At 37.3% G+C, this 19,316-nt stretch overlaps 1 protein-coding gene and 1 long non-coding RNA gene across 6 annotated transcripts in view, besides 1 other annotated feature; one reads left to right on the top strand and one right to left on the bottom strand.

Moving 5' to 3' along the window:
- Window positions 1–19,316, top strand: part of KCNMB2-AS1 (KCNMB2 antisense RNA 1) — a 334,939-nt gene that overhangs the window by 29,766 nt on the left and 285,857 nt on the right. The gene's annotated exons all lie outside the window — the stretch shown is intronic.
- KCNMB2 (potassium calcium-activated channel subfamily M regulatory beta subunit 2) overlaps window positions 1–19,316 on the bottom strand; it is a 307,994-nt gene that overhangs the window by 13,790 nt on the left and 274,888 nt on the right. For all 4 annotated transcript variants that reach the window (XM_011512325.3, NM_181361.3, NM_005832.5 and 1 more), the window contains 2 exons: window positions 4,882–5,052; window positions 2,267–2,462 (listed from right to left, as the gene is read on the bottom strand). In XM_011512325.3, coding sequence (XP_011510627.1) covers window positions 2,267–2,462; window positions 4,882–5,052 — 367 coding nt within the window. The remainder of the gene's footprint in view (window positions 1–2,266; window positions 2,463–4,881; window positions 5,053–19,316) is intronic.
- Window positions 2,810–3,342: an enhancer, noted in NCBI's record as "NANOG hESC enhancer chr3:178545086-178545618 (GRCh37/hg19 assembly coordinates)". NCBI's record gives its function as "activates a minimal SCP1, AML or CMV promoter by ChIP-STARR-seq in naive H9 embryonic stem cells {active_cell/tissue: H9 hESC(naive)}" and the evidence as "EXISTENCE:reporter gene assay evidence [ECO:0000049][PMID:30033119]".

Below are 19,316 nucleotides of genomic sequence, written 5' to 3'. Positions count from 1 at the left end.
AATTACAGATATTACCAAATGTTGGCAAAGATTTGGAGCAGTAAGAACTCTCATACCCATAGGGTTGGTGAGAATGTATATTTGCATATACATTTTGGAAAACTACTTGGCATTATCTACTTAACTTTAAGATATGGATACTCTATGATTTAAATATTCCATTCCCAGGTTTATACCCGATGGAAGTGTGTGTGCTTGTGCACCAGAGACATATATGAGAATATTCATGGTAGAATTACTTGTAGTAGTCCCAAACTATAGACAATTCAAAATGTCCATCAGCAGTAGAATGAATAAATAAACAGACATACTCATACAATGGAATATGATACAGTAATGAAAATGAATGAACTGTAACCAAATGGAATAAATCTAACAAACATAACGCTATGTGAAGAAAACCAGACAGAAAGGAAAGTATTCTATGTGATTCCATTTATATAATGCTTAAAAATGAGGCAAAACTATTAACAAAATATATATGTTTAAGGATATATCCTTAGGTGATAAAAGTACAAAGGAAAGTAAGAAAGTAATTGCCATAAACAGTCAGGATAGTTGTCTTTGGTGGAGGCAGAGCCTGTAGTTATTGAGAGGGGGCATGTAGGGTGTTTTTGGGGTACAGAAAATGTTGTATTTCTTTACCCTTAAGGTGGTTACACGGTGGTTACGAATCTGTTTGTCATACTTGAGCTGTACTTTTTCATTTCATGCACAGTTCTGTATGTTATAATTTACTTTAAAAAACAAGATAGTGGGGCCAATAAAACAAATGATGACCTAGTATTATGCTGAGAGCAAATAAGGTACCAGTCCTGAATACATATCTGGGACATTTATTGGTAGCTTCCCTCTCCGTTTATAGCCTAAATAATGCATTCACAGGGCTGTAGTGATAAATTGTCAAAATGAGGAAATGAAAATATGTCCCACTTTTTGATGCCTATTCAGGTTTAAGAGTTTTATAGGCATTTGTCATTACTGGTCAGCTTTGATTTTAAGATCTGACTTAAGGGAAGATCTTGAAAGACAAGCACTTTGTGAGAGAGCTAGGCTTTACATACTGCAGCACAGCGCTGGGACTGGTATTATTTGTGGCTACTACAAATGAAAGAAAATCAGAGCCAGCATTTTCAAACAACATTCTCTGAAATATTTATTATGTTGAGTCCTCAGAGATATTTGCAAGAATTCCTTTAAGTTATTGTAACAAAAGTTCAAGGTGGGTTTATCAGAAACAAATCCCATTCACTCTCTATGTGCTAGTATTGAACCTTGAATCTACTGCATTTTTTTCAATAACTATAAGTTATATCATTTAAGTGCTGACAATTTAATGAAAAGAAAAGCTTTTACAAGAAAGATTAGAGGTCAGAAGGGTTTATCCTGGTAATAAGAGCCAAGAGTGGCATCGAGTTGTCTTGGCATATGAGATTATTCTGCATATCGAATTGTTACCACAAATCCAAAACTCAATATATTTAACTTAAAATTGTAATGGCAAGTTGGTTCTGCTGACACCTTCCTGGTCATCCCAGACCTTATAAATGTAAATTTTATGTAAAGCTTTAATAAAATACACATTCGTTGAATATCTACCATGTGGACTTGAATATCTTAGTGGACTGGAAAATTCAGCCTCTATGAATATAACATATGTGAAGAACACACACACACACACACACACACACACACACACACACACACACACACAGTGACCATGGGTTGAAAGTAGCATGCTCTGCTTAACATTGTACATGCTCAGGACTCATCTTCATAAGGACCTTGCAAGGTGGCCATTTGTTACTTTTTAGAGAAAAGGAAGCTGAGGATCAGAAAGGTTGTTATATCCCTGAGGTCACAGAACTAAATGACATTGACCATGGACAAACAGAATACACCTTTACCTGATGGTTCCCAGGTACAGGACAAACACATGGTTTTGTCTTGTACATCTCTAAGTTGCATACTTGCTTTGAAAGACTCAGTCTATTTGTGTAAAGATATATTAATATTTACCCTTTCAAATGGAAGTGAAAGCTAAATCTGCACTACCACAAATGTAGGAATGATTTGTCCACAACTTGCACAGAAAATAAATATTTTCTAGGCAAGAGTCACATAGCAAGTTCTCTGAATGGAAGAGGCAGGCTCTGCTTCCTGGAAGTATTTTCCTTTGAAATGCTGGCAAAGGGGAACTTCAGAGGCAGAGAGCCTGGTGTGAAGCTCTGTGGGGTAACTGAAATGCAGTACGCCAAGTTCCTACCTTCTGATTGATTTTTATTGTCTCTTCTGTGTGGTAGAGGAGGAGCTTTTCCCCGGAAGAAGTCAGGTTAACGTACACCTGGAGGCAGGGGTACTGAGAAAGTTTCCAGCAGTCTGGACCACAGCTGAAGGAGCAATTAAATGTTTCCGTGATGGACGCATTCAGCAAGGTGCATTGAGACTCTTCGGTCCACACGCTGCAGAGAAAGGGGTGAGAGTAAACACAGGCCCAAGAGCTAATAGTGAGAAAGGTATAGTCCGAGGGAATTATTTCTCATCTCCTGAAGCTGAAAAATCTTTTCTAAATCTCTAATATGATCTATCTGTGTAAAGTTTAGGCCTTCGAATAGAACAGCTTTAAGCAAACTACCGTATAACATAGACAAACGTGGACACGTGAGAACGTTTTCAATGACTTCCATTGGATATGGTATTCTCCAGTGCTTGACTTAAGTTCTTTTTTCCCTTATGGAACTCACTGGTAACATGAGGCATACTTTAAAATCATCACCTGTCCTCACCCTGTATTTCTACATTGTAGGCAGCTTCTTGACATGCTCCAGCCCCTACCTCTGTATGTTTTACTTTGTACTTTCTGCATCCCAGCTCCCTCCCCAGCCCAGTTTGTAGGCACAGAAGGTGTGAGGGAGAAGGAGGGGAGAGATGGCAAAGGAGTGGAGGGTCATGTGGTCCAGCTTGACAGAGATGGAAGGACAGTGACAGAATGCCTTAAGGTCTTTCTAATAAGGGAAAAAAGATAACTCAACCCTTTCATTATGTCATGAGCAATCACTTACTGCACATTCCTTTCACCCTAATTGGTAATTTACATACATTACCTTCTTTTGTTCTCTCAACAGCTGTGCAAGTTGGGTAGTAATTTCTTTTTAAAAGTGAGTGAACTGAGAAATCCCATGACATATGCAAGGACATATGGGCAGTAAGTGTTGGAAATTGTGATCCAATCTTGTAATTCTCTAAGGCCCAGGCTCATTCTATTGTGTTTTGCTGTCTCCCCACAAACACAATGGAAAAGAAACCCTTTTATGCAGACTAATGGATGAATAAGGGTGCCCTGTTATCTCTCACCTGGAAGGATTCCAGCTGCCCATTGGTCAACTGGTCATTTAAAAATACCTTTAATTTTATGATCAAGATTAACATTTGTAATTAGGAATTAACACACCAGCAATTGATGGTTTGGTTTTGGGTATAAGCTGATCACCATAGCAATGGGAAAACATGTTTTCTTTGCAGATTAATACGCTTTCCTTTTGTTGGACAGGCATCCACAGCTTCCTACCCCTTTGCATGTGTGAAGTTTTATTCCAGAAGCAGGATACTAGACCTGATCCCCTCCCTTGGTGTGGCAAACTGTATTTTCCTGGAACATGGGTGGTCACATTTTGCTTATATACTGAGGAAAAAGTCTCTGATGGTTCTAACCAGATGTGAAGAGCTGAAAGCATTTTGGAATCAACGACCACTTGGGGCCTGAGGCATCAGCACTTTCATAGAAAATGAGCACAGCTGAAGGCCATCAGAGAAACAGAGCAGAGCAGCCACAAATGTGAAAGACGATGCCTTAATTTCAGCAAATTACTGTATTTCAGCTAGATTTTGCTTCTAAAATGAAAGTATTAATTTAGATGGAGAAACAAATGCCACAAAATGGTTTCATTTTCTTTTGGATTGAAACCTCAATTTTTCATTTGAAAAGGTCTTGTTTCTTTAAGCTGAACTGCTGTGAGACTTCATTCGATACATCAGGGCTGGGCTTGCCTGTGTTTAGAGTGTCCAATTTATGGACAACAGTTAGCTAGAGATGCTGGTGGGATTTACTACATGGCTTACTGAGGACAGGAGTACACTTGCTATCCCACAATTTATTTGCCTCCCTATCCATTCAATACACCTACAGCAAATATTGAAATGAAAAGATTCAAAATCTGTTATTTTTAAAAGTTGATGCATAGCAGTGTTTCTCAGCCTAGAAGGCCCATTAGAACAACCTGGGGAGCTTTAATAGATACTGGTGACTGGGTCCCACTCCGGACCAATTAAATCTGACCTTCTGGGTTGATGATGATGGGGGCTGGGTATTAGCATTTTTAAGAGTTTCTGGGGAAATTGGAATATACAGTTGAGAACCACTCACGTGGAAGGTGAGGGAGGGGTTGGTTGGGGTGGAAAAGGGAGGAGGGTGGGGAACGGACAGAAGTGTGAAGTGGCAGGAACAGTGACTTTGGAATAAGCGAGATGTGGGCTTGAATCTTAGCTCTGCCACAAGCAAGAGCTGTATGACACTGGGGAAATCATATCTCTCTTGAGCCTCAGTTTTGCCGTTTTTATAATGAGTATATTTATACTTACCTTATAGAGTAATTGTGATAATTAAAGAAGTAGAAGTCTTTGACACCTGGTATCCAGATTATACATAGAGCTATATGTATCATTATTATTAGATAACATTATTGAAAAGTATTATTTACCAGGAACTTCTCAAAGTTCTTATCAGGAAAGAAGGTGAGGAAGATGACCTTAGGGTTGCCTAAGTGATGGGGGAGGATGGAGCAGGAGACAAACAGCAGGGTCCCACCCACCCAGTGGTATTACCTCTGCATGTATGAGCGCAGGAGTGTGATTCCCAGCAGAAAATACATCATGATGGAGCACACCATCATAGCCAGTCCCAGGAGAATAGCTCGGTCCTCTCCTGCCTTCAGTGCTGTGACTGTTTTCCTTTTGTCCAGGAGGTCATGGTCCCTGATTTTCTGGTAAATATTTCTGAGGTTAAAAACAATATGGTCTTACATTAAGTTTAGTTAATCAGCATGCCCCTAGAGAGCAGGTCAGTTTCTGCCCATGCCTTCCTAGGGCCCTCCAAACCTGCTTCAGTGCAGCTGGACCTCAGTGTGTGTCCACTACCTCCCACACAAGCACACACATGCATGTACACACACTCACAAGCACATGCACGCTTGTATGTGTACCAGTCCTGAGCAGAAATAAGCCCTCCTTCTTTACTCTGGGGCCAATGTCTTAACTGCAAATTAATTTTCCTTCTATCTAATTCTAAAGAAAGAAACCAATCCCCTCAACCCTCAAAATAATGCTTTGGGTTTGTTGACTTTACCATTTAACCCAAATCTGATCATTATTGATTTTTAGATAATTTTGGAATACCTAATGGAGCATTGATTCAAATAAATGGCAACATATACTAGGAATATATCAAATTAATCTTTCATTTTTCTTCAGTAGTGATAGGTAGAAGTTATTTTGGTTAACATTTTTCTCAAGCTGAGAGCTGCTTAGGGCTTTGTTGGCTTGAGATTGATAAGCAGTGTGAAGATGTAGAGTGGTGACCCAGCTATTCTTATATGTGAAAACTTTCGATTGAGTTAGAAAAGTGTCATTCAAATCGAGCCCAGGCCCTATAACTTTGGACAATTTTATTAGTATTTTTGTTTTTTATTTTAGAGCAGCAATGTAGGGTAAGAAAGAACAAGAAATTGAAATCAACTGTCTCCTGAGTTCAGACTGATTTCACTGCTTGTTAGCTGTGTGATCAATAACAAGTGCCTTAGTCTTTCTGATCCCCAGTCGCCTGCAAAGTGAAAATAATGTTTAAATGCATTTTAATGGCTAAGTGACATGATACACGCAAATTATTTAAGAGAATGACTGACATGAGATTTGGCCGGGTGTGGTGGCTCATGCCTGTAATCCCAGCACTTTCGGATGCCGAGGCGGGCGGATCACAAGATCAGACGATTGAGATCATCCTGGCTAACATGGTGAAACCCCGTCTCTACTAAAAAAAAAAAATACAAAAAATTAGCCGGGCGTGGTGGCGGGCGCCTGTAGTCCCAGCTACTCGGGAGGCTGAGGCAAGAGAATGGCGTGAACCTGGGAGGCGGAGCTTGCAGTGAGCCAAGATCATGCCACTGCACTCCAGCCTGGGTGAAAGAGCGAGTCTCCATCTCGAAAAAAAAAAGACAATGAGTGACAAGAGATTAGTAATAAATGCTCCCATTCAAAAATGGGGTGGGGAGCTACAGCTCAATGACACGGACATCAGAACATCCTAAAATTGCTACTATTCTACAGAGAATTTTTAATGGACAAAATGGCAAGAAAATGAGTAGTGTATAAAGCTTGGGGATGGAGGATTGGATTTGAAACCAGGTCTGGAGGAGAAGGTAGAAAAGAAATGCGGAAGTGCTGGGTGCTTGGGGAGATGATGAGAAGCTTGAGTAGGAAGGCAATGCTCAGGAATTCCTGCAAGGCCTGTGACCAAGAAACAGCTCATGATTTTTCAATGTCTATTTTGAGAAGGGAGCTTTGGATTGCAGGGCAGTGGAAATGGGAAAATCGCTGGCCTTTAGAGCCTAGAAACAGCAAGGAGGACAAATAAAATGCTGAAAATGGAAAAAGAAACTGAAGTCATTTTTTTTTAGCTTCAGGCAAAAAGCCAATATGCACAAGAATAACTTCAGATTTTTCATTCAAATTTTTATGGCTAATCGCTCTTGTTGCTTGGGAGAGGAACCAGAGTTGACTCTAAAGTGGAACTTTGCGGGGGAGGGAAGATATGCCTGTTGTTTGCGCAGTTGTGTGTTTATTCAGGGCTTATATTTAGCTTTGTGCTCCAGGATGGCCTGACTGGTGTTTATGGCCAGTATCTGTTCTGATTGGCTGATCCCTTCTGGGCTGGTTGCTAAACATTTTGATTCCTTATAGAGGTGATGGAGTGTGTATGTACTTAATATATTTCCATGAGGTTGTAGGGCCGAGTATTTATTAATCTAAGTATTGGTTGTGCAAAATTAACTGATTAGCTTCTTCTTATTATTATTTTAAAGTTCTCTTTTTGAGGTGGTTTGTATAAATCTTACTCTTTCCTTGAGAAGTGAGCCCATTGTAGTAGGAGAGTCAGAGCTAAATACAGGCCTTTGTTTATCATCATTTCACGGCCTTGTCTTTCCTGGCTTCTTCCCACTCTCACTTGCTCTTGGCTGCTCATGGTCATTGCCAGAGGCCTGGAGAGCCCATATCTTTCATTGTTCCCCAGCTCCCAATCCCAATGCCTCTGGATTAGCTGGCCTGCCCTGTTTTTGACTTCCACAGACTGGCAACCACCCACCCTCTGTGTTTCTTCATTCTTTTTTGAGATTTTGTTTGGAAATTCTAGGATTTACATCAAAGCTTTTAAAACTTCACCCTTTAGGAACTCAAATTTTAAAAAATCAGTGTCCGTTAGCAGCTAAAGCCAGTGGGCTGAAAGCTTTTCTGAATCAGGAAGAGACAGGCTGAGTCTGAGTAGCTTCAAAGACCTGCTGTAAAATAATAATCTGCTGTTACTTCACTTATATTATTTATCAACATGTATTTAACTCTGATGGCTGCCATAGAGATCTGAATTTCCTGCAGATAGAAGACAGCAAGGAGGGAGCATAATCTCACAATTCCAGGGTATTAGACTGTCACACAGCATCACTTATGTCAGCCTATACCCATAAAAGAGAAGAAGTGTAATCAGTGTCATCAGAACAAGAAGCATATAAAAATGATTCAAACGTGTAATTCAAAAACAAATCACAATTTGAAAGTGGTTAACAAATGTTTTTGATATGCTCTGGAATGTATAGAGAGGGGAAAAGTGAATGATTTTCATACAGCCCAAAAATATCTGAGAAATCAGGATACTACCCAGCAAAATGAAAGTGGGTGAGTGGAGTGGGCCATACCCATGGAATTCATTAGTAAATGATTATAGAATTAATGGAAAATAAAGAAATGAATACATGATTTGGAAGAGCAGAGTTCAGTTTAGGTTCACACACTTCTCCTGAATGCTGGTAATCTCTTGTTATTGGGGATATGGCCCCTGCCCCAAAGGAAAACAGACATGTATATAAATATCAGCGTGGGGTGAAAAACTTAATGATGGAGCAATTCACAGAGTGTTATGGGAATAGAGAAGAGGGAAGGATACCCCAGCTTGAGGGAGCAGGACAGAGAGCCAGGGTTGAATTTAGGGAAAGGTTCCTGAAGGAGAAACACCTTAAACAAAATCTTCAAGATTGAATCAGAGTTAACCAAATGAGACAAAGAGTCAAAGGTATTTTAGACAGAAAGACTCACATGAACAAAGGGATGGAGACTTGCAATTGCATGGTGAATATCAGAAACTACAACTGTTTTAATATTACTGAGATGCCTATGGGACAGGGAAAAAGAGGCAGATGAGTTTGCAAAGGTAGGTAGGCCATGAAGGGTTTTGTAAGTCATTCTAAAGAGCTTGGCCTTTATTCTGTAGTGAATAGGAATCTGTCAGAGGGTGACACGATTGAGTTTCAAAATGATCACTCTGGCTTCTGTGCAGAGTTTAAGAAACAGGATAAGGCTTAAATCAGAGAGAGGAATGGGGGGATTGTTACTGTAGTGTTGGCAAAGGACAGTGAGGGCTGGATCTAGGATCAAGGTAGGATGTATAAAGAAGAAACGATACATGGAGAAATATCTATGAGACAGAACTTCAGGATTTGGTGGCTGATAGAATACAGGGGATGATGAGGAAGTAAGAAAAAGGATATAGTTTAGATTTATGCTCTAGTACTTGATGTGGATGACTGGAGAAATCATGGAGAGTGGAAAGGTGAGATTCTTGTTTCCGTATTTCCCTACTCTTCCAGGATCCAAAGAGGTGACTTCTGCTGACCTTGCTAAAGAGGAAGAAAGTGATTGTACATTTATAGTACACACAAGTTTAGTGTCCTAAGCACAGGCAGAGGAGTGACTAATCTCAATGGTGAGATAGGCCAGTCAGAGGGCCACCTCTGTTTTTTGGGTCATTGCTTATGTGTGGCATAATTTTTGTAAAACAAAAATTATCATTTGGACTTGCTTTTGTTCAGGCTTTGGTTTTTTGCATGTCCAAGTAGTAAAGGTAGTAAGTCTCAGTTGGGAAAGAGGGTGTTCACAGCCTGAGACAGGGTGCATTAGTTGGCCCCTTCTACACCATGTTGTCTTCAGTGCTAGTTGGAAGGAGCATGATGCCATATTTTGGGCCACAGCCCTATGTATCCTCTTCCATACTAGGAAGCCTTGTAATGTGTGAGTTACCATGTAAGTATTAACAAGGCTGATAGCTTATCACCCTTTGGTTCTTTCTGTCTATTCTTTATGAATCTACCTGAGAGGAATTGAGGGTGGGGGTGGTAGTGCTAAGAATAATGGAATGAGGGACAATTCACTGATGTGGAGAGCTCAGGAGGAAGAATGAGTCTGGGGTATGACTACAAATTCAGTTTTGACTAAGTGTGCTGCCCAACAGTGGGTGTAGAGCAGGAATTTGACTTTATAAGTTTGAAGCTGATCTAGCCTTGGTGTGTCCTGGCAAAGCACCATATTTAAGGTCTGTTGAGATAGTCTTGGCTTCAGGGTGAACCACATGTTGACAATAACAAATAGTAGATATGTGCAGTCTTTACTATATATAGGGAACATTCTGTTCAAAGCCTTTGGAGAATAGAAGTTATTAATAAATCTACAGGGCAAATCCAAGTATAACAAAAGTGTTTGTGATAAATATCTTGTAAACAAAATATTTTCAATTGTTTAGTAAGGCTTCAATCAATTTTACGCCAAGCATTAGTCAACCTAGTAAAATTTTATTTTGAGCTCCTTTTATGTAGTTTCTTGAAGTTTGATATTGGGGGTCAGCCCATAATTCATAAACAAATTATTTTTGAGGCCATGCACATACAAATATGGATATAAAGAGCAAAATGTGAAAGAAAGTTTTTCCTCCTTGGCTGTCACACCCATTTAAATTCAGATTCCCTTGGTAGCTATCCTATAAAGAGAAGGAGAAAAGTATTCAGGTTAAGGCAGCATAAAGGCCACTTATGAATTAATTTGCTTATTCATTAGTCAACATTTCTAAGTCTTCATCAGATGAAACACAATGTGCTAAGTTCTGGCGATACCAAATAAATAAGACTTAGAGTCCCAAGGGAGCTGAGTGAGATGTCAGTCATTGCAGTGTATGGCAATGAGACTGATTAGATAGGTGTGTACAGGAGAAGCAAACTGATACGCCAAGGGCCAACTTGCTAAAGGATCAGTTTCTCAATGGCTAATTCCCAAAAAGCCAGTTTACTGAAGGATCAGCTCACTACATAAATATTTTGCCAACTTTACGACACTTACAGATTTAACAAAGACTTATTTTAAGGAGTATTGTTTTAAATATAGTAAATGAATATAAATAAATTTTTGTATGAATATTTTAAGACTATATTTTAAAAATCTGTTCAATCATAAAGTGTATTTTTCTTACGGATACATTCATCTTAGTGGTATTTTAGGATCAGTTTGATATTTTTAAAAGCTAAGTTTTCTAAGGAGGCTTAGTCTCTTTGTAAATATATTCTTATGAATATATTTATAAATATGCCTTTCTTGAATACGTTTGTGAATATATCCTTCTAACAAATATGACAAAAATTTAGCATTTCATGTGGGAACCTTTCAATTTTTACTAGTTTTCAGATTCTTTTTAGAGTCACTGGCTGTTTTGCTAATATTTTAGAATTATTGAAATTCTTGTGGCAAATTTCACATTATGACCACTTTGATGGATTTATCAACTTTATCAATTAACCAAAATTTGTTTCTTGACTCATTGATAAAGGTTATGGTAAGAATAGTAGGACCCTCTGCTAAGCTGAAAAGAAGAATCAGTGAAACACGAAGTCTGGCCCACTGACCTAGAGAGGGGGACACACAGGGGTAGAGGAGGGAAGACTAGCGGGCAGAGGAAGCAGGAGGGCATGGCTGGGATGGGGGTGGGGGGAACAGGGGACAGAGAGGAAGGGAGACTGGAGGCCGAGGGTGTCTGGGACAAGAGATGGAAAGACAGAGGGGCGGAGAGATTGAGAGACAATGGCTGCAGAGAGTGAGACGGAGTGGAGTGAGTCTGAAGGCCCTAAATCTGGCCCCCCTGTAAATGTTTTCATTCCATTTAGTGTGGTTTATTATAGAACTGTGTAGGGTTACAGTGATCATACAAAATTTGTGGTATATAGCTAAATTCGATAAATTCATCAAAATGACTGATGACAAATGGATTCTTTGGCAAATTGGCTTCAGGCACATTGGCCATTACTTTTTCAGGCATTCCTTAAAATGAACAGTCAGTGGATCGATGGTAGAAGAAAAAAACAGAAAAGGGCCAAATAAATGTCAGGAATTAAAAACCGTAACTACAGACATGTTATGGATTAAATTGGCCCAGGGCTATGATTTACAAGCTCAAAGGTGGTTTAGGAAGCCTGCCAGTTAGGGACCATAACTTGATTTAAATGGTGATGATTAAGAGTCCTTTGACGGACCAAACTAAGTCTTGGACGAGCAAATGATTGAGAAAGGAAGAGTATCCAGGCAGAATATAAGAGAATAGAGGTAGTAGAGTGTGGTTGGATTCCAGGATATTGTGGGCAGGGAATGGCAGACAGTGAGCTGGTTAGATAGGCAGGCACCAGAGAAAAAGGATCTTGTATGTCTTTTGAAGTTAGAGGGGGCATTAAAAGAATTAAGCAAGTACAATGATTAGATATGTGCTTTAGAAAGATCACTCGTGTTAGTGTGGTTGGTTGTTTAGAAATGTTTACATATGGAGACAAAGGGACTGATTCTTAAACTCTCCCAGTGTTTCAGGTGTTAGATAAAGAGGGGTTTAAAAAAAGAGAAATGATGGAGGAGATTAAGATTTAGATTTACTTAGATGAAGCTGGAAGCCATTATCCTCAGCAAACTAACGCAGAAACAGAAAACCAAACACCGCATGTTCTCACTTATAAGTGGGAGCTGAGCAATGAGAACACGTGGACACAGGGAGGGGAACAACATTTACTGGGGCGTGTTGGGGGAGAGTGGGAGTGGAAGAGTGTTAGGGAAAACAGCTAGTGCATGCTGGGCTTAATACCTAGGTGTTGGGTTGATAGGTGCAGCAAACCACCTATGGCACATGTTTACCTGTGTAACAAACCTGCACATCCTGCACATGTACCCCAGAACTTAAGAACAAACAAACAAACAAACAAATAGATTTAGATCTGGGCATCATTTGTGTCTAGAACTAGCAACACTATGGGTTTTAATGAGACTCTTTAAGTAGTCAGAGAAACAAAAGACAGCGTGGCCACTAAAACATGGAAAGGGCAGAAGAGAATTCTGCAGAATCCTGAAGCTATCAGATACATGATGGGGCACCTGGTGGATGCAGGGAAGAGAAGTAGGGAAAGCATGAATTAGAAATGAAGAATTAAATGTATCTGAAATTACTTGGCTGAGAGCTCTTCCAGAACTTACATGTGCTGAATATTTATGTTTGTGCCTCTCTGGCCCAGTGAATACTGAGCTGTTCAAGAGTTAAAGACAGACCACATCTTTGTAAGTTCAGTCTCTTGCATTTATTAGGCTCACAAAATATGTTCCTTTTATTTGGACTAGACTGGCTACAACAAGCATAGGTTGTGAGATAGCCAGTTATAGGGAGGCTGAATGGTCTATTAAAACTAAATAAATCAGGGAATGATGGCTAGAACAGACCTCCAGTTTCTATCTTCCCATCAGTGTCCATTGGACTCTACCACCAACAAATTTAGTACTCTTTCCAGAAGAAAATCAAACTCTCCAGGCACTGAACCCTCTAGTTCCCAGACTTAGGGAAACATGCCCTTCTGTTAGATCTTATGAAGGTGTACCTATGAGGCAATGGATTGCTGAGTGCCTTCAGAGCTTCAGTGAGCACAGCTGCTATACATCTCTGCCCCACGAGAACACACCTGTTATTTCATATGGCAGAGAAGGCATGGCTTTGATGAACACAGCCATTCTTCTGCCTTCTGTCCACCACAGCCTCTTCCATTTTTGAGATGTGCTTCTTTTACATATATCCTCATCTTAAATTAGTTTCAGATTTTATAGATTTTTCCTTGAGCTGGTAGGTATATATTTTATGGTACAATTTGATTAGTTTAATTATTATTATCTGTTTTGGTCTTTTAATGTGTACATTTCATCAGGAGCAATGTGTTTTTGAGTTTGGGGAGAAATGACAGTCACACTTCATTTATATATATATGTCATTAACATGAAGGATTTTGTCCATGAGCTTAATGTTATTATTGCCAACGTATTAATTCATGGGACTTCCCAGGAAGTCTTGTAACACTGTGACCCAGGTCTTATGGGTAAGACACTAAAAGTGAGAACAAAATTATGGAAACAAAGGTTGGAATTATTCTTTTTAGTCCTGCCTTTAGCTTATTAGATAACACACTCTCCCAATGATATCTTAATATTTTAATTCATATTTATTTTTGTTGGACCAATTAGCATATTAAATTTTATGAAAAGCTTTAATCCAAGATATAGAAAGAAACAGAAAATTATGTGAATCGTCCAGATAAGTGAGGGTGTTATAACCTAGGGAGACTTTGAGAAGTACTGGCCTTTTTATTGACCACATTATTTGGCTCTAATGCAATAATGCTAGAAATAAATAACAAAAAATAACTAGAATGACATCTACAGAAGAAAGTAAAACCATAGTACAAAGAACTCATGGGTCATAGAATAAAGTCCAGCAAAAATTAAAAATCAGAATTAAATGATATGAAAAACACTCTAGAACAATTAGTGGGATGCAGCTAAAGCAAAACTGTATATTTCTAAGGATAGAAATATATAGTTTCAAATACTTAGATAAGAAGAAAGCCTGAAGATTAATGCACTAGGCATCCAAATTAGTAAGTTAGGAAAAGATTAACAGAATATACTAAAACAAAGTATAAGGAAGGAAATAATAAACTTGAGCAGAAATAAATGAAATAGATGAACTATATTAAAGGACTAATGGGTTCAAAGGTTAATTTCTTTTGAAAAGACTAATGAAAAACTGAAAAAATTGATCAAGGAAAAAATAGAAAAGGGCCAAATAAGTATCAGGAATTAAAAACTATAACTACAGATAAGGTATGGATTGGAAAGAAAATATTGAAAATAACTATATAATGAGACATTTGAAAACTCTGAAGTTTATAACTTCCTGAAATATACAGCAAACTTTTCCAAAAATATAACTTACTGAAACTGATTCAGAAATAAATAGAAAACTCAAATACTTATAAATCATTAAAAATTTGAATCATCAATTAAAAATATCACCATAATGGAAACAGTAGTCTCTGATGATTTATAGCTAAACTGTACTTATAGTATACAAATCATTCCAGAATATAGAAAAAGATGAAATGCTACCCAACCTATTAATGAAGTTAGTAAACTTTGATACTAAAACCAAATCAGAACAATACACAAAAAAATTATAGGTCAATATCTTTCACAAACATAAACGTGAAATTTTAAAAACAAGATAAACTAGCAATATATAAAAATGAAAATATATCATGATCAAGCTGTGGTTATCCCAGGAACTTATAATGTGGGTTATTATTTGAGTAGTAATGTAATCTATTACATAAATAATATATTAAAGGGTTATAATCATATAATAATGTAATAAATGTAGATAAACATATTTGACAAAATTTAACATTCATTCATGATAAAAACTCCTATCAAATTGAAAAGATAGGAACATCCTTAATATGATAAATGGTATAGAAGAAATACCTATAGTAAACTTGATACTTAATGGTGAAATGTTGACAGAATCCATTTTATGAGCAGAAACAAAAGTAAAGATGTCCATTATTACCTGTTTTATTCATGATTTACTGATTTACTAGCAGTATAACATATGAATGAATAGTATATTTACTGTAAAGAAGAAATAAAAGCGTATTCACCAATGATGTAATTATGAAGAAAATACAAAAGAATCTATAGATAAATTATTAATAAGAAAATTTAGGCTGGGTGAGGTGGCTTGCATCTGTAATCTCTACACTTTGGGAGGCTGAGGTGGGAGGAGGATCACTTGAACTCAGGAGTTCAAGACCACAGCAAGGCACCATCTCTAAAAAGAAAATTAGCCAGGCGTAGTGGTGCATGCCCGTAGTTTCAGCTGCATGGGGGGCCGAGGTGGGAGGATTGCTTGAGCCCAGGATTTCAAGGCTGCAGTGAATCACGATTGTGCTACTGTACTCCAGCCAGTGTGACAGAGCGAGACCCTTTTGCAAAAAACAAAACAAAACAAAAAACAAACAAAAACTAGTATAGTTGCTGAAACCAAAGTGATATGCAATAGTCAATTGCCTTTTTATATATTAGCAAAAATGGTGTAATTTAAACATTACAAAAAAAAAGACAGTGCTCAAAAGTAAATGGAACAAAACCAAAAATTGACAAATGGGACTTAATTAAACTAAAGAGCTTCTGCACAGCAAAATAAATAATTAACAGAGTAAACAGACTACCTACAGAATGGGAGAAAATATTTGCAAGCTCTGCACCTGACAAAGGACTAATATCCAGAATCTATCAGGAAGTTAAACAAATCAACAAGGAGAAAACAAATAACCCATTGAAAAGTGGACAAAGGACGTGAACAGACACTTCTCAAAAAAAAGACACATATATGCAAGCCAATAAACATGAAAAAGTACTCAACATTACTAATCATTAGAGAAATGCAAATTAAGACCACAATGAGACCATGCAGGATGGCTATTATTAAAAAGCCAAAAATAACAAATCTTGGTGAGGCTGAGAGGAAAAGGGAACACTTAGGCACTATTGGTGGAAATGTAACTTAGTTCAACCTCTATGAAAAGCAGTGTGGAGATTTCTCAAATTACTGAAAATGGAACTACCATTTGACCCAGCAACCATAATTGATACCATTACTGGAGTGGGTATCTACCCAAAGGAAAAGAAATCATTCTATCAAAGAATATCTGCACTCATATGTTTATCAAAGCACTATTCATAATAGTAAAGTCATAGAATCAACCTAAGTGTTCATCAAATGTGGTACATATACACCATCAAATATTGCACAGCCATAAAAAAGAATGAAATCATGTCATTTGCAGCGGGAGGCTGTTACCCTAAGTGAATTAACACAGAAACCGAAAACCAAATACTGCATGTTCTCACTTAACACATGGGAGTTAAACAATGGGTACATGTGGACATAAAACTGGAAACAATAGACACTGGGGACTCCAAAAGGGGGCAGGGAGGGAGGAAAAAAGAGTTGAAAAACTACCTATTGGGTACTAGTTTCACTATTTGGTTGATGGGTTCAATAGAGGCCCAAACTTCAGTATTACTCAATATGCCCATATAACAAATCTTGCACATGTACCTCCTGAGTCTACGATTAGAAAAACAACAGCAGCAGCAGCAACAACAACAACAACAACAACAACAACAACAACAACGTAGTGAAGTTATGAGAGTAGGGGTCGTTCAAGTTTCTTTTTTGGCAGGATAATGAAAGCATTAATTATCTTCATATTGGTCAATTCATGCACACATATGAAAATGTAATTATCTAAAAACATAAATGAAATATCCAAATTTCCAAATGGGAGAAAATAGAATACAATTTTAAAGACTTAATTAGTTTGGCTGAATTAAACAGACCAAAATTACACAAACAAATGATGAGTTAAAAAGTAACTTGAGTTTGGAAAAGGCAGCCCAAATATATTAGTAATCATAATTGATTTGCTCTACAATATTATCCTGAAAGTTCCTGCCAATAGAGTAAGAGTGTAACACATGAGAAAAAACCGTAAGGATTGGAAACAAAGAAACATTGTTATTTGTAGAAAATACAAATAGGGAAATCAAAACAAATCTATCAGCAACTATTTAAAAGCATACTGAGTTCTACAAGGTTGATTGATAGAAAAAAATCAGTAACTACAAAAGCAGTAGCATTTCTACACATCAGCAGTAAAAACACATATATAACATAAGAGGTATGATTATAATTGCCACAAAATGTTGCTTAAATATAAATCTAATGAAATAATTGCAAAATGATATCATGATTGATACTGCAATCATGATAATTCATGATATAATTCATGAATAAATAAGGAATTATATTCCGGGATGTGGAGACTCAATATTTAAAACAATTCAGTTAGTCAATAAATTCAATGCCATTTCAATACAAAGGTAGTACTTAGGAATAAATCTAATAAATGATGTACACTTTTTTTAAATGCAAAACTTTATTAGGAGATACTAGGGAAGACAAACCAATGTAGAGGTTAATCGTATTCATTCAGAGAAAGACTTGGTGACATAAAGATGTAAATTTATCACAAATTAATTAATAAATTTTATAAAATTCTAATAAAAATCCCTAGAGTTTTTTTTGGGAAGTGCGATAGGTGTGACTTGCCAACCTGATTTTAAAACTTACTTGGAAGTGCAAGTGGCTAAGAATAGTAAATACACTTCTGACTACAAAATAACAAGATGGGTGACTGGTCCTATCAAATATCAAGATGTATTACAGGCATAATGCTAAAATTTGTAAACTGTTGTGAGGTGTTTGTCTGAGGTGGACAAAACTGGCCGCTAGAACAGAATAGAGATTCAAAAACATATCCATGTATATATGGAAATGTAATATATGACAAGTGATTTTTAGATCAATGGGGAAAGGAGAAACTCTCCAATAAATGATGCTGGGGCAATTGGTTATCCATATAAAAACTGGATATTGGGTATCAGTTCCAGATGATTAAATACGTAATTGTGAAAGATAATGCTACATGAAATTTAGAAAACTGTGCAGGAGGATGTCTATTTGAAACTGGAGTAGGACGGGATTTCAAAGTGTTCCAAAAATTGTTAATTTAGAATATATTAAAATTACCAAACACCGCATGTTCTCACTCATAGGTGGGAATTGAACAATGAGAACACATGGACACAGGAAGGGGAACATCACACACCAGGGACTGTTGTGGGGTGGGGGGAGGGGGGAGGGATAGCATTAGGAGATATACCTAATGCTAAATGACGAGTTAATGGGTGCAGCACACCATCATGGCACCTGTATACATATGTAACAAACCTGCACGTTGTGCACATGTACCCTAAAACTTAAAAGTATAATAATAAAAAAATTAAGAACATATTAATATATTTATCAAAAGACATGAAAAAGAAAGTGAAAAGCCAAACCACAAACTGGGAGAAGCTATTTACATACATATAGCAGATAAATAATTAATATGGACTTTTATAAAGAATTCCTGCAAGTCAAGTAAAAGACAAACAATCCAGTAGAAAAATGGTAAGAGGTATGATTATAATTGCTGCAAAATGTTACTTAAATATAAATCTAATGAAATAATTGCAAATTATTTAAACAGTCAAGTATTTGACCTAATTGGGGCAAATATTTAAACAGTCAACTCAGAAAAAACGACTAAGGAAATATACTCAATCTCATTAATAATCTGAGAAATGAAAATTAAAATAATAATACCCTCTTGATTACTGAAAATTAGAAATCCGAAAACTCTAAACAAGGCTGTTGAGCAATGGGAATCTCATGTATGGCTCCTTTGGAAAACCATGGCATTACTTGGTAAAATTAAAGCTGCGTGTACTTTTGAACCAACCATTCCCATGTTAGGTATAAATCTTAAGAAATGTTCATACATGTGCACAAAGAGACATGTAGAAGAATAGCATCATTGTTGGCAATGACAAAAGAACTGGAAATAATGCAAATGTTGCTCAGCAGTAGACTGGATGAATAAATGGTAGTATGTTCATGTAGTGGGAGACTACATAGCAGATAAAATGAACTGCAGCGACTCACGCCAGCATTGGTAAATCATAACAACATAATGTTTGGTGAAAAAAACAAGTTGCAGAATAAATATGGCATGATTCCATTTACATGAAGTCTCCAAACATTTGGATGGAAACAATATATTGTTTAAAGATCCAAATGTGATAAACTCATGAAAAAAAATCGGGGAATGATATGCCCAAAATTCAGGATATTGATTGATATTGATTGATGGGGA

The sequence above is a fragment of the Homo sapiens genome, chromosome 3 (genome assembly GCF_000001405.40).
Source record: "Homo sapiens chromosome 3, GRCh38.p14 Primary Assembly".
NCBI lineage: Eukaryota > Metazoa > Chordata > Mammalia > Primates > Hominidae > Homo > Homo sapiens.
This window is presented reverse-complemented; position numbering and strand designations above follow the sequence as displayed.